A 13,661-nucleotide genomic window follows, 5' to 3' on the forward strand; every position below is an offset into this window, starting at 1 on the left:
CACCTGGCACATCTTAGCCCAAGTTCTGTCTCCGTAATGAGATTTCCATAACTTTCCTAGGTAGATTCACTGCCCTTTCTCCTGCATTTCATGTGTAAATCTTCATAGAACCTTTGTATATGTTGCAGTGTTCTGCATGTTTTTATCTTGTACTGTAAGCTCCTGGAGGGCAGGGACCAGATCTTATTTTCACTGTCTCTGAAACAGGGCTCAGAGTTAAGAGCTCAGTAACTATTTAAATGAAACAAAGAATGCTCGGATGAAGTTTGCTTTTAGAAGTCCCAAGTCATGGCCCCGAGCTGTGGCTCATGCTTATTCCCAACACTTCAGGAGGCAAAGGTGGTGAGAGGTGAAGCCAGCTGGACTTCCTGGGTCGAGTGGGGACTTGGAGAACTTTTCTGTCTAGCTAGAGGATTGTAAATGCACCAATCAGCGCTCTGTGTCTAGCTAAAGGATTGTAAATGCACCAATCAGCACTCTGTAAAATGGAACAATCAGCGCTCTGTAAAATGGACCAATCAGCAGGACATGGGTGTGGACAAATAAGGGAATAAAAGCTGGCCACCCCAGCCAGCAGCGGCAGCCCAGGTCCCCTTCCACATGGAAGCCTTGTTCTTTTGCTCTTCACAATATATCTTGCTGCTGCTCACTGTTGGTGAGCAAAGGTGGTCCGTGCCACCTTTAACAGCTGTTAACACTCACCATGAAGGTCCGCAGCTTCATTCTTGAAGTCAGTGAGACCAAGAACCCACCTGAAGGAACCACCTCCGGACACGGTGTGAGGATTGCTTGAGCCCAGGAGTTTGAAACCACTCTGGGCAACGTAGGGAGACCCCCTCTCTACAAAAAAATACAAAAATTTTGTGGCCTGGTGGTGCACTCCCATAGTTCCAGCTACTCGAGAGGCTGAAGTGGGAAGATCGTTTCATCCTGGAGCCTGGGAGTTTGAGGCTGCAGTGAGCTGTGATTGTGTCACTGCACTCCAGCCTTGGGTGGCAAGAGTGAGATCCTGTCTCAAAACAAAGGAAAAAAAGAAGTCCAACATTGCAAGATTCTTTTATCATTGCTTTAAAAAAAATTGTGGTTAAAAAGCCTATCATAAAATTTACCATCTTAACCATTTTTAAGTGTATAGTTCAATAGTGTTAAGAACATTTACACTGTTGTGAAGCAGATCTTCAGAACTTTTTCATCTTATAGAACTGAAACTGTATATGGCATTGCTTTTTAATACAATTGTGTTTTTATTTCAGGTGGTGTTTCGTTCTACGTCGGCTATGGTTTACATATTTATTCAGATGAGCTGTGAAATGTGGGATTTTGATATTTATGGTACTGTGTCTATGTGCTGATTGTAACTGCTAAGGGGAGAATTTTCTGGAACTGCAAATGCTAATTCATGAATGCCCAGGGTCCCCCACATCATCTTCTAACAAACTTTAAATATCATTGTGAGAATAATCATATTTGGAGGTTAGAGTGTTTTCTCGTTCTAAAGATACACTACTTTTTTCAATAATCAAATTTTTTTCAAACTGCATTGTATGTTGAAGTCATAGCCTCTTAGTAGTGAGGCAGATATTAAATTTGGCTTCAAAAAATAAAGAAATAAATAAACTTGGCTTCTTAGTTTGAGAATGAAACCACTTTGTACATCTGGCTTTTATGATCTTGTTTTAAGATGTACAAAACAGGCCGGGCACAGCGGTTCATGCCTGTAATCCTAGCACTTTGGGAGGCTGAGGTGGGCGGATCACCTGAGGTCAGGAGTTGGAGACCAGCCTGACCAACATCGGGAAACCCCATACCTACTAAAAATACAAAAATTAGCTGGGCTTGGTGGTGGGCGCCTGTAATCCCAGCTACTCAGGATGCTGAGGCAGGAGAATCGCTTGAACCTGGGCGGCAGTGAGCCAGTATCATGCCACTGCATTCCAGCCTGGGAGACAAAGTGAGACTCCCATCTCAAAAAAAAAAAAAAAAGATGTACAAAATACACCTTCTTTTTGGTCCCCTTTCTTATAGAAGAAGTTGCAAGCAGTTTACTTAGGGAATTGCTTAGAGAAGAATTTACTTAGAGAAGAAATTAGAGAAGAAATTGCAAGCAAGAAATAAAGATTGTTCTCATGTTCTCATCCTTTTTTCATTGTTTCTTTTCAGGGGATTTGTATTTTGAGAAAGCTGTGAATGGTTTCCTTGCTGATCTATTTACCAAGTGGAAGGTACATTTCTTCTTACACACTAAGTCTCATTATGTAAACATTACTCAATCAGATTTTTAAAATGCACTGTTTTTATTAAATTGCCCTAAATTGAGCTATTTTAGGTAAAACCCGGACTCCAGATTTAAATTACCCTAATAATCTCAATTTATGAGAATTTATGAAAAACACAAAGCTAACATCACACTCAATGGTAAAAGACTGAAAACTTTCCCCCAAGATCAGTAACAAGGTAAGTATGCTTGCTTTTGCCACTGATATTCAACATTATACTAACTAGAAGTTCTAGACAGACCACCTAGGCAAGCAAAAGAAATAAAAGGCATCCAAATCGAAAAAGAAGTACAACTATTTCTATTCACAGATAATATGATCCTATATGTAGAAAATCCTCAAACTCCACAAAGTAAGTATTAGAGCTAATGCATTCAGCAAAGTTTCAGGATACCCAATCAACACACAAAATCAATTGTATTTCTATATACCAGCAATAAACAATCTGAAAGAATAAAATACTTAGAATACTTTACCCTAGGAGCTGTAAGACTGGTCCACTAGAATCTATAAAACACTGTGAAAGGAGTTAATGAAGACCTAAGTAAATAGTAAGATAACCTGTGTTCACAGGTTGAAAGACTTAATATTGTGAATTTGGCAATACTACCCAAAGCAGTTTACAGGTTAATGCAGTTCCTATCAAAATACCAGTGCCTTTTTTTTTTTTTTCTGATCCTAAAATTTATGTGGAATTGCAAGGGATCCTGAATAGCTAAAACAATCTTGTAAAAGGGGAACGAAGTTGGAGGACTCTCACTTCCTAATTTCAAAACTTACTAAAACCCTCAGTCATCAGAATAGTGTGATATTGGCATAAGGATAGATATATAGATCAATGGAATTGAATTGAAACCAACCCGTACATCTATGGTCAGTTGATTTTAGACAAGGGCATCAAGTTCATTTAATGAGAGAAAGAATATTCTCTTCAACAAATTATTCTGGAACAACTGAATGTCCATATGGAAAAGAACGAATTTGGACCCTCACCTCAAATCATATATGAAATGTAACCAAAGTGAATCAAAGACTTAAATATAAGAGCTAAAGTCATCTGGGTGCGGTGGCTCATACCTGTAATCTCAGCACTTTGGGAGGCCGAGGTGGGCGGATCAGGAGTTTGAGACCAGTCTGGCCAACGTCATGAAACCCTGTCTCTACTAAAAATACAAAAATTAGCCAGGCGTGGTGGTTGGTGCCTGTAATCCCACTACTCAGGAGGCTGAGACAGGAGAATCGCTTGAACCTGGGAGGCGGAGGTTGCAGTGAGCCAAGATTATGCCACCGTACTCCAGCCTGGGCAACAGAGTGAGACTCCATCTCATAAATAAATAAATAAAGAGCTAAAATTATAAAACTGAGCCAGGTGTGGTGGCTCATGGGAGGCGGAGGTGGGCAGATTGCATGAGCCCTGGAATTGCAGACCAGCCCCAGCAATATGGAAAACTTTGTCTCCACAAAAAATACAAAAAGTTAGCTGGATGTGGTAGCTAAAAAAAAAAAAAAAAAAAAAGGGAAAAAATTTTCCTTATGTTTAAAAGTTTTATTTTTATTTTATTTATTTATTCTTTTTGAGATGGAGTCTCACTCTGTTGCCCAGGCTGGAGTGCAGTGGTGCAATCTCAGCTCACTGCAACCTCCGCCTCCCAGGTTCAAACAACCTAAAAAAAAGAACTGAATTTTTTTTTAAGAGACAGGGTTTTGCTCTGTCCTGTCACCCAGGTTGGAGTGCAGTGGTACAATCATACTGTAACCTGAAATTCCTGTGCTCAAGGGATCCTCTTGCCTCAGCTTCTTGAGTGGTTGGGACTATAGGCATTTGCCAACACAGCCAGCTAAAATTTTTGTTTTTATTTTTGTAGAGACAGGGTCTCGTTTTGTTGCCCGGGCTACTCTTTAACTTTTGTTTTCAAGTGATTCTCCCACCTGCCTCAATTCTCCACCTGTTCAGTTCTCCTGCCTCACCCTCCTGAGTAGCTGGGATTACAGGTGCCCGCTACCATGCCCAGCTAATTTTTTGTATTTTTACTAGAGACAGGGTTTTACCATGTTGGCCAGGCTGGTCTTGAACTCCTAACCTCAGGTGATCCGCCTGCCTCGGCCTCCCAAAGTGTTGGGATTACAGATGTGAGCCACCGTGCCTAGCCTAAAAAGTTTTATAATTTTTTTTTTTGAGACAGGGTCTCACTGTCACCCAGGCTGGAGTGCAGTGGAGCGATCATGGCTCACTACAGCTTTGACCTCCTGAGCTCAAGTGATTCTCCTGCCTTAGCCTTAGTAGCTGAGACTACAGGCATTTGCTACCACACCTAGCTAATTTTTTGTGTTTTTTTATAGAGATGGGGTTTTGCCATGTTGCCCAGGCTGGTCTCAAACCCCTGAGCTCAAGCGGTCACCCACCTTGGCCTCCCAAATTGCTAGGATTACAGATAGAACCACCATGCCTGGCTGGGAAATTCATATAACCTTGAATTTGGCAGTGGTTTCTTAGATATAACACCAAAAGCACGGCATCCAAATTAAAAGCAGTTGAATCAGACTTCAAAATTAAAAACTTTTGTGCATCAACGGACATTGTCAAGAAAGTAAAGAGGCCAGACCTGCTGGCTCACACCTTTAATCCCAGCACTTTGGGAGGCTGAGGTGGGAGAATCGTGTGAAGCCAAAAGTTCGAGTAACCCAGACAACAAAACGAGACCCTGTCTCTACAAAAATAAAAATAGAAAAAAATTAGCTGGCTGCATTGGCAAATGCCTCTAGTCTCAGCTACTCAAGAGGCTGAGGCAAGAGGATCCCTTGATCACAGGAATTTGAGGTTACAGTATGATTGTACCACTGCACTCCAACCTGGGTGATAGGACAGAGCAAGACCCTGTCTCTTTAAAAAAAAAAAAAAAAGAAGAAGAAAAAAGAAGACAACCCACAGAATGGGAGAAAATATTATTTGCAAATTATTTTCTGATAAAAGTCTGTTATCCAGAAAATATGTAGAACTTCTGTAACTCAAGAACGAAAAGAAAAAACCCTAATTGACAAATGGGCAAAGGCTGCCCCATTCACCATGATGTGATTATTTCACATTACATGCCTGTATCAAAACATCTCATGTACCCCACAGATATTAAACACCTACTATGTACCCATAAAAATTAAAAAATAATTAAAATAATTAAAAAAACAAATGGGCAAAGGACTTGAATCAACATTTCTCTAAAGAATATACATGAATGTCCAACAAGTACATGAAAAGATGCTCAAGATCATTAGTCATTAGGAAAATGCAACCTAATACCACAATGAAATGCCACTTCACACCCACTAGGATGACTGTATTTTTTTTTTTTTTTTTTTTTTTTTTTGAGACAGAGTCTCGCCATGTTGCCCAGGCTAGAGTGCAGTGGCGCAATCATAGCTCACTGCAGCCTTGATCGCCTGGGCTCAAGCCATCCTCCCTCCTCAGCCTCCTATAGTAGCTAGGACTACAGGCATGTGCCACTATGCCCGGGCAATTTTTTTTTTTTTTTTGGTGGAAACTAGGTCTCACTATGTTATCCAGGCTGATCTCGAACTCCTGAGCTTAAGTGATCTTCCCACCTTGGCCTCCCAATGTGCTGAGATTACAGACGTGAGCTACAGTGCCTAGCCCATATTTTTTTTTGAGACAGAGTTTTGCTCTTGTTGCCCAGGCTGGAGTACAATGGTGTGATCTCGGCCCACTGCAACCTCTGCCTCCCGGGTTCAAGCAGTTCTCCTGCTTCAGCCTCCCGAATAGCTGAGATTACAGGCGCCCACCACCACGCCCATCTAATTTTTTTGTGTTTTTAGTAGAGACGGGGTTTCACCATGTTGGCCAGGGTGGTCTCGAACTTCTGACCTCAGGTGATCCGCCCGCCTTGGCCTCCCAAAGTGCTGGGATTACAGACGTGAGCCTCCGCGACTGGGCCCATATTCTTTATTTTATTTATTTATGTATTTTTAGAGACAGTCTCGCTCTGTCGCCCAGACTGGAGTGCAGTGCTGCGATCTCGAACATGGCTCACTGCAACTTCCACCTCCCAGGTACAAGCGATTCTCGTCCCTCAGCCTGCCAAGTAGCTGGGATTATAGGTGTGCGCCACCTTACCCTGCTAATTTTTGTATTTTTAGTAGTGATGTGGTTTCACCATGTTGGCCAGGCTGGTCTCGAACTCCTGGCCTTAAGTGATCTCCCCACCTTGGCCTCCCAAAGTGCCGGATTATGGGCCTAGCCCGTATTCTTGACAGCATTATTCATATTAGCTAAAAAGTAGGATAACACAAATAACAAATGTCTGTCAGCTAAAGCATAGATAAATAAAATGTATATCCATACAATGTAGTATTATTCTGCTATAAAGAAGAATGAAGTACTAACACATGCTACAGCATAGATGAATCTTGAACACATGTTAAGTGAGAGAAGCCAGACATAGTGGATCAAATACAAATCATAAGATCTTATTTATATGAAATGTCCAGAATAGGTAAATATATAATATAGAGATTAGTGGTTGCCAGGGACTGAGGGTGGGGAGTGACTGTTTCATCAGTTTGGGATTTCCTGTTGGGGTGATGAAAATGTTTTGGATCCAAATAATGGTGATAGTTATACAACATTGTGAATGTATTAAATGTCACGATGGCAATATTTATATGTATTTTGCCACAATTAAAAAATTATTTCATTCGATTATCTCACCTTGATTTCACATGAAAACATTTTGATGAAAAAGTATTTGAAGTCACATTATGTAGTGTAAAAGAGTAGAGTTTGGATTAAGGCAGACTGGGTTTTAAATGATCTCATCAGCTTGCTTTTTTTTTTTTCTTTTTTGATTAAGAGACAGAGTCTTGCTATGCTGCTTAGGCTGGTCTTGAACTCCTGGGCTCCAGGGATCTTGTCACTTCATCCTCCTCAGTAGTTGGGACTACAGGCGCAGGCCACCATGCCTGGCTGATTAGCTTTTTGGTCTCCAAGGATTAGTCTCTGAGGCTCCATTTCTTCAGCTGCAAAATGGAGATAATAATAGACCCTCTCACCACATCACTTATGAGTTGAGACACTCCATGCCCATATCAGCCCATTGTGAGCCCGTTGTGTTTTCCTGTATATCACTTGCACTAAAATTAGATAAGGGTGCTGATTTTGGAGCTCTTGGACTCCCGTGAATTAATTGGCAGTCAGTGAAGGTCTGCTGTTTCCTAGCACTCTGCTCTGGGTACTGTGGCTTGTATTTAGGAATTTCTGTCCACTTGAGATACATCCATGAAATGTACATTATATTATGTGCCTTATATAGTGAGTGTTGAATTCTGTAGTCACTAAGCATACTTAAGATAAAGATGGGGTTGGTCAGTATAGGCTGTTGTCTTCAGAGACCCAGGAGGAACTGAAACTGCGCTTGCTAGCTAACTGTTGCAAGCCACTTTTGATGTTCATCTGTAAACACCCTACTTCTAGGATATTGATCTCCAGACTCCATGGAAATGTTTATTCTCATTAGTCCCTGTCCCTGTCCAAAGGTAGTTCTTTGCCTTGGCTTATACCGCTGAGTCCAGAGCAAACCCCACCCTCATCCTATGAGACTAGTAGGGTGTGGGAGTGCCTTTGATTCTTAAATCCACCACCATGGGTGCTGTTCTTGTTCCCTAGACCACAATTCTGCAGAAATTAAAAAACACTGTAGGCCTGGCATTGTGGCTCACGCCTGTAATCCCAGCACTTTGCCAAGGCAAGTGGATCACTTGAGCCCAGCCTGGGGATTATGATGAAACCCTATCTCTCTTTTTTTTTTTCTTTTTTTTTTTTTTTTTGAGACGGAGTCTCGCTCCGTCGCCCAGGCTGGAGTGCAATGGCACAGTCTTGGCTCACTGCAGTCTCCACCCCCTGGGTTCAAGTGATTATCCTACCTCAGCCTCCTGAGTAGCTGCAATTTCAGGCGCGTGCCACATTGCCTGGGTAATTTTCCTACTTTTAGTAGAGATGGAGTTTCGCCATGTTGGCCAGGCTGGTCTCGAACTCCTGACCTCAGGTGATCCACCCGCCTCAGCCTCCCAAAGCACCGGGATTGCAGGTTTGAGCCACCACGCCCAGCCGAAACCCTGTCTTTATAAAAAATGCAAAAATTATCTGGGCCTGGTGACGCGTGTCTGTAGTCCAGCTACTCGGGAACTGGGAGACAGTCACCATTACTTAATGCTGATTTGCAGTTTTCCAATCACTTTCCACATTCCTGGCACTTTAGATAACTTTCCTAAAGTCACATAGTGGCAAGTTTCAGGTTCAGGACTCCATCTAGGGCTTCTGACTCCCAGCAGTGCTCTGTCCCCTGCACTGCAGCCTATAATTACCTGAAGCTATTCAATACTGTGCACTGCTGCTGAGCCACCTGGATTAAGAATATTATGTGCAGCTGGGCCTCACACCTGTAATCCCAGCACTTTGGGAGGCCGAGGCAAGCAGATCACTTGAGGCCATGAGTTCGAGACCAGCCTGGCCAACATGGTGAAACCCTGTCTCTACTAAAAATACAAAAATTACCCAGGTGGCCCACCTGTAATCCTAGCTACTCTGGAGGCTGAGGCAGGAGAATTGCTTGAACCTGGGAGGTGGAGGCTGCAATGAGCCGAGATTGTGCCACTGCACTCCAGCCTGGGCAACTGAATGAGACTGCCTCAAAAAAAAAAAAAAAAAAGGGCTGGGCACAGTGGCTCACACCTGTAATCCCAGCACTTTGGGAGGCCAAGGCAGGCGGATCACGAGGTCAGGAGATCGAGACCATCTTGGCCAACATGGTGAAACCGCATCTCTACTAAAAATACAAAAATTAGCTGGGCATGGTGGCGTGCGTCTGTAGTCCCAGCTACTTGGGAGGCTGAGGCAGGAGAATTGCTTGAACCCAGGAGGCGGAGGTTGCAGTGAGCCAAGATAGCGCCACTGCACTCCAGCCTGGTGGCAGAGTAAGACTCCGTCTCAAAAAAAAAAAAAAAAAAAAAAAAAAGAATATTATATGCATGCAGTCTGCTTCATAGTGAAGTAAATGAAACAAACTTCAACCCTGTTGTTCTCTACTCATGCTTAGGAGAAGAACTGTAGTCATGAAGTGACAGTGGTCCTGTTTTCTAGAACTTTCTATGATGCAAAATCTGTTGGTGAGTAACTATTTCTCTCCTACAGTTATGTTTTTGTTAAGCTTCCCCCAACCCCACCCCAGCCATTTCCTTTCATTTTTTTCCTCGTTGCACTTTTCCACCCTTCCCATCTTTTCTGTTATGGGGACAGTGTAAAAGGGAAAGTAGCACAGTCCGTTAGTGGATGCAAGAGGTCTGTGGGCTGTGATTCATCTTAAAACCAACTTAATAGATAGACAGTTGGCTGGGTGCAGTGGCTCACGCCTGTAATCCCACGACTTTGGGAGGCTGAGGTGGGCGGATCACCTGAGGTCAGGAGTTGAAAACCAGCCTGGCCAACATGGTGAAACCCCATCTCTACTAAAAATACAAAAATTAGCCAGGTGTGGTGGCATGCACCTGTAGTCCCAGCTACCCAGGAGGCTGAGAAAGGAGAGTCGCTTGAATTCAGGAGGTAGAGGTTGCAGTGAGCTGAGATCTTACCACTGCACTCCAGTCTGGGTGACAGAGTGAGACCTTGTCTCAAAAAAAAAAAAAAAAAAAAAAAAAAAGACAGTTATCTTTATTTTTTTGTGATGCAAATCTTTAACCCAGAAGAGGAAGCTGACAAAACTGAATTTCTCTTCTCAGCCTGAACTACATACTCCGTTTTCTCTATTTCAGATGAATTTCCTGAAATAAACCGAGCCTCAATTCGACAGGATCACAAGGGGAGATTCTATGAAGACTTTTACAAGTATGTTTGGGTGCTTTGCTATACTTTTTATTTATTTATTAGTTGTTTCTTTCCTAACTTAAAAATAAGTCAGCCTGGGCAACATGGCGAAACCCTGTCTCTACCAAAAATACAAAAAATTCGCCTCTTGTGGTCCCAGCTACTTGGGAGGCTGAGGTGGGAGGATCACTTGAGCCTGGGAGGTGGAGGTTGCAGTGAGCTGAGATCACACCACTGCACACCAACCTGGGAGAGAGTGAGACCCTGTCTCCAAAATAAATAAATAAATAAATAAATAAATAAACCTTTTAATTTTGTAATTGTAATGATTTTAGATTTACAGAGAAGTTTCAAAGATAACACAGTTCCTGCATGGTCTTTGCTCTGTTTCCTCTAATATTAACATTTCATAACCAAGTTACATTTGTCAAAACTAGGTTAACATTGGTACATTACTATTAAGGAAATTCAGATGTTTTTTAGATTTTAGCACTCGTACTTGCCGTCTCCAAGATATCATGTTGCATTTAGACCTTCTAAATGTTTTATTGTGAAAAATTTCAACATTCAGAGAAGAAGAGCAAATAATATAATGAGCCCGTATACCCAATACCTGAATTTAACAGTTATTATTTTGTCATATTTGATTCATCTGTTTTTTTCAGTGCCATTGACTAAGTAAATTATCAATATTGTAATATTTTATTTCTATACATATTCAAAAAAGGCATTTTTATATCTGACCACAATATCATGATCATGTTTAACGTTATTATTATTATTATTATTTTTTGAGACACAATTTCACTCTCTCGCCCAGGCTGGAGTGCAGTGGTCATGTAAGCTGACTGCAAACTCCGCCTCCCAGGTTCAAGGGATTCTCGTTTCTCAGCCTCCCGAGTAGCTGGGACTACAGGCGCCCGTGACCACGCCTGGCTAATTTTTTTGTATTTTTAGTAGAGATGGGGTTCGCCATGTTGGCCAGCCTGGTCTCAAATCCTGACCTCAGCTGATCCACCCACCTCGGCCTCCCAAAATGCTGGGATTACAGGCGGGAGCCACCATGCCTGGCTGACACCACTATCTAATTGAGATGATTATCAGATAGTAATAGTTACTGTTTTTACGGGACTTAGCATGAATGGGTTACTCTTCTAAGCACTTTACATGACTTGATTTATTTAAATATCACAGCATCCCTGTGGGATAGATACTGTTACCCCATTTTACAGATGTGGAAATTTGGACACAGAGTTTCAGTAACTTATCCAAAGTCCACACAATATTAAGTGGTGGAGCATGGACCTGACACAGTCAATCTAGTTCAGAGTCGATGCTTTTTGACCACTGTATTCCTCAACCTCATACAGATTATACTTTAAATTATTTGTTGATCTTTTGTTGGATCCTGTACCCCTAGGAGAATTTTATGAGAGTGATGGGCCATCTGCTGTACTGACACCTCCACTCATCCCCTTATGCAGATGAATTCTGCATTCCTCTAATTCAGTGAATTCCAGGAACCATGAGAGCTCTTCTGACTTAACAGTATATGCAGTTTTATCTGTATAATGAATATGAATTAATTTGAGCATGATCAGTTATACAAAATACTATATAAAGCATGAATATGAATATATGAATTATGAATGTAGATTTATAGGTGTATATGACTATATATTTTTAATATATGAAAGTTTATGTCATTAAAAAGTCATCCTCAACGTTTTTTAGATTGAGAGAAACTGGTTATCTTTTTCTTACTGCAAAAACAATACAGGTTCATTTTAGGAAAATCACAAAATAGGCCAGGCGTGGTGGCTGATACCTATAATCCCAGCACTTTGAGAGGCCAAGCCAGGCACATTGCCTGAGCTCAGGAGTTTGAAACCAGCCAGTGCACCATGGAAAACCCTGTCTCTACAAAAAAATACCATAACTTAGCTGGGTGCAGTGGTGCGCGCCTGTAGTTTCAGCTATTTGGGAGGCTGAGGTGGGAGGATCACTTGAGCCTGGGAAGTTGAGGCTGCAGTGAGCCAAGATCATGCCACTGCACTTTAGCCTGGGTGACATAGTGAGACCCTGTCTCAAAAAAAACAAAACAACAACAACAAAAGCACACCAGTATAGTTTAGTAGAGAGGAATTCAAAGCACACTCAATTCCATCTACCAAATATAGTCTTCATTACTTTGGTGAATCAACCCCTATTATCTGTATTTAGGAGAAAAATTAGTTTTCATAGAGATGTGATCACACATTCCATGTGATTTTTTTTTTTTTTTTTTTTTTTGAGATGGAGTATCACTCTGTTGCCCAGGCTGGAGTGCACTAGCGTGATCTCAGCTCACTGCAACTTCCGCCTCCCTAGTACAAGCAATTCCCTGCCTCAGCCTCCGGAGTAGCTGGGATTGCAGGCATCTGCCATCACACCTGGCTAATTTTTTTATTTTTAGTAGAGACGGGGTTTCACCATCTTGGCCAGGCTGGTCTTGAACTCCTGACCTCAGGTGATCCACCGCCCTCAGCCACCTAAAGTGCTGGGATTACAGGCATGAGCCACTGCGCTGGGCCTCCATGTGATTTTTTTACATGTTTTATTGTTTTTATTTCTTTTTGAGACAGTGTCTCACTGTCACCCAGGCTGGAGTGCAGTGGTGCAATCTCAACTCACTGCAAACTCCGCCTTCCAGGTTCAAGCAATTCTCCTGCCTCAGCCTCCTGAGTAGCTGGTGTGACAGGCACCCGCCACCATGCCTGGTTAATTTTTGTATTTTTAGTAGAGACAGGGTTTCACCATGTTGGCCAGGCTGGTCTCGAACTCCTGACCTCAGGTGATCCGCCTGCCTTGGCCTCCCAAAATGCTGGCATGAGCCACCACGCCTGACCCATATGGTTCTCTTTTTATATGTTTTAAACCTTCATTTTCTTTCATTTCCTTTTTTTTTTTTTGAGTCGGAGTTTCGCTCTTGTTGCCCAGTCTGGAGTGCAATGACACGATCTCAGCTCACTGCAACCTCCGCCTCCCGGATGCAAGCGATTCTCTTGCCTCAGCCTCTCGAGTAGCTGGGATTACAGGCATGTGCCACCACACCTGGCTGATTTTGTATTTTTAGTAGAGATGGGGTTTCTCCATATTGGTCAGTCTGATCTCAAACTCCCGACCTCAGGTGATCCCCCCACCTTGGCCTCTCCAAGTGCTGGGATTACAGGCGTGAGCCACTGTGCCCGGCCATAAACCTTCATTTTCTATTTACTGTATCACAAATGCCAATCCATGTTAAACACACTGCTCCACAGTATCTTTTTTTTTTTTTTTTTTTGAGGCGAAGTCTCGCTCTGTCGCCCAGGCTGGAGTGCAGTGGTGGGATCTTGGCTCACTGCAAGCTCTGCCTCCCAGGTTCACGCCATTCTCCTGCCTCAGCCTCCTGAGTATCTGGGACTACAGGTGCCTGCCACCACACCCGGCTAATTTTTTTTGTATTTTTTAGTGGAGACAGGGTTTCACCGTGTTAGCCA

The 13,661-nt window shown here is 42.5% G+C and overlaps 1 protein-coding gene across 39 annotated transcripts in view, besides 1 other annotated feature; it reads left to right on the plus strand.

Moving 5' to 3' along the window:
* The window catches only part of DEPDC5 (DEP domain containing 5, GATOR1 subcomplex subunit), a 154,066-nt gene that overhangs the window by 28,686 nt on the left and 111,719 nt on the right, over positions 1-13,661 (plus strand). For 38 of the 39 annotated variants that reach the window (NR_157126.2, NR_157125.2, NR_146296.2 and 35 more), the window contains 4 exons: positions 1,254-1,332; positions 2,161-2,222; positions 9,380-9,449; positions 10,092-10,164. Coding sequence is in view for 32 of the 39 variants with exons in the window: in NM_001364318.2 (NP_001351247.1) it covers positions 1,254-1,332; positions 2,161-2,222; positions 9,380-9,449; positions 10,092-10,164 (284 nt within the window). In the remaining 7 variants the exon portion in view is untranslated. The other variant, XM_047441632.1, reaches the window with a different exon arrangement.
* Positions 7,902-7,961: an enhancer, noted in NCBI's record as "active region_18872". NCBI's record gives its function as "activates an Ori minimal core promoter by ATAC-STARR-seq in GM12878 lymphoblastoid cells {active_cell/tissue: GM12878}" and the evidence as "EXISTENCE:reporter gene assay evidence [ECO:0000049][PMID:35858748]".

Source organism: Homo sapiens, chromosome 22 (assembly GCF_000001405.40).
Source record: "Homo sapiens chromosome 22, GRCh38.p14 Primary Assembly".
NCBI lineage: Eukaryota > Metazoa > Chordata > Mammalia > Primates > Hominidae > Homo > Homo sapiens.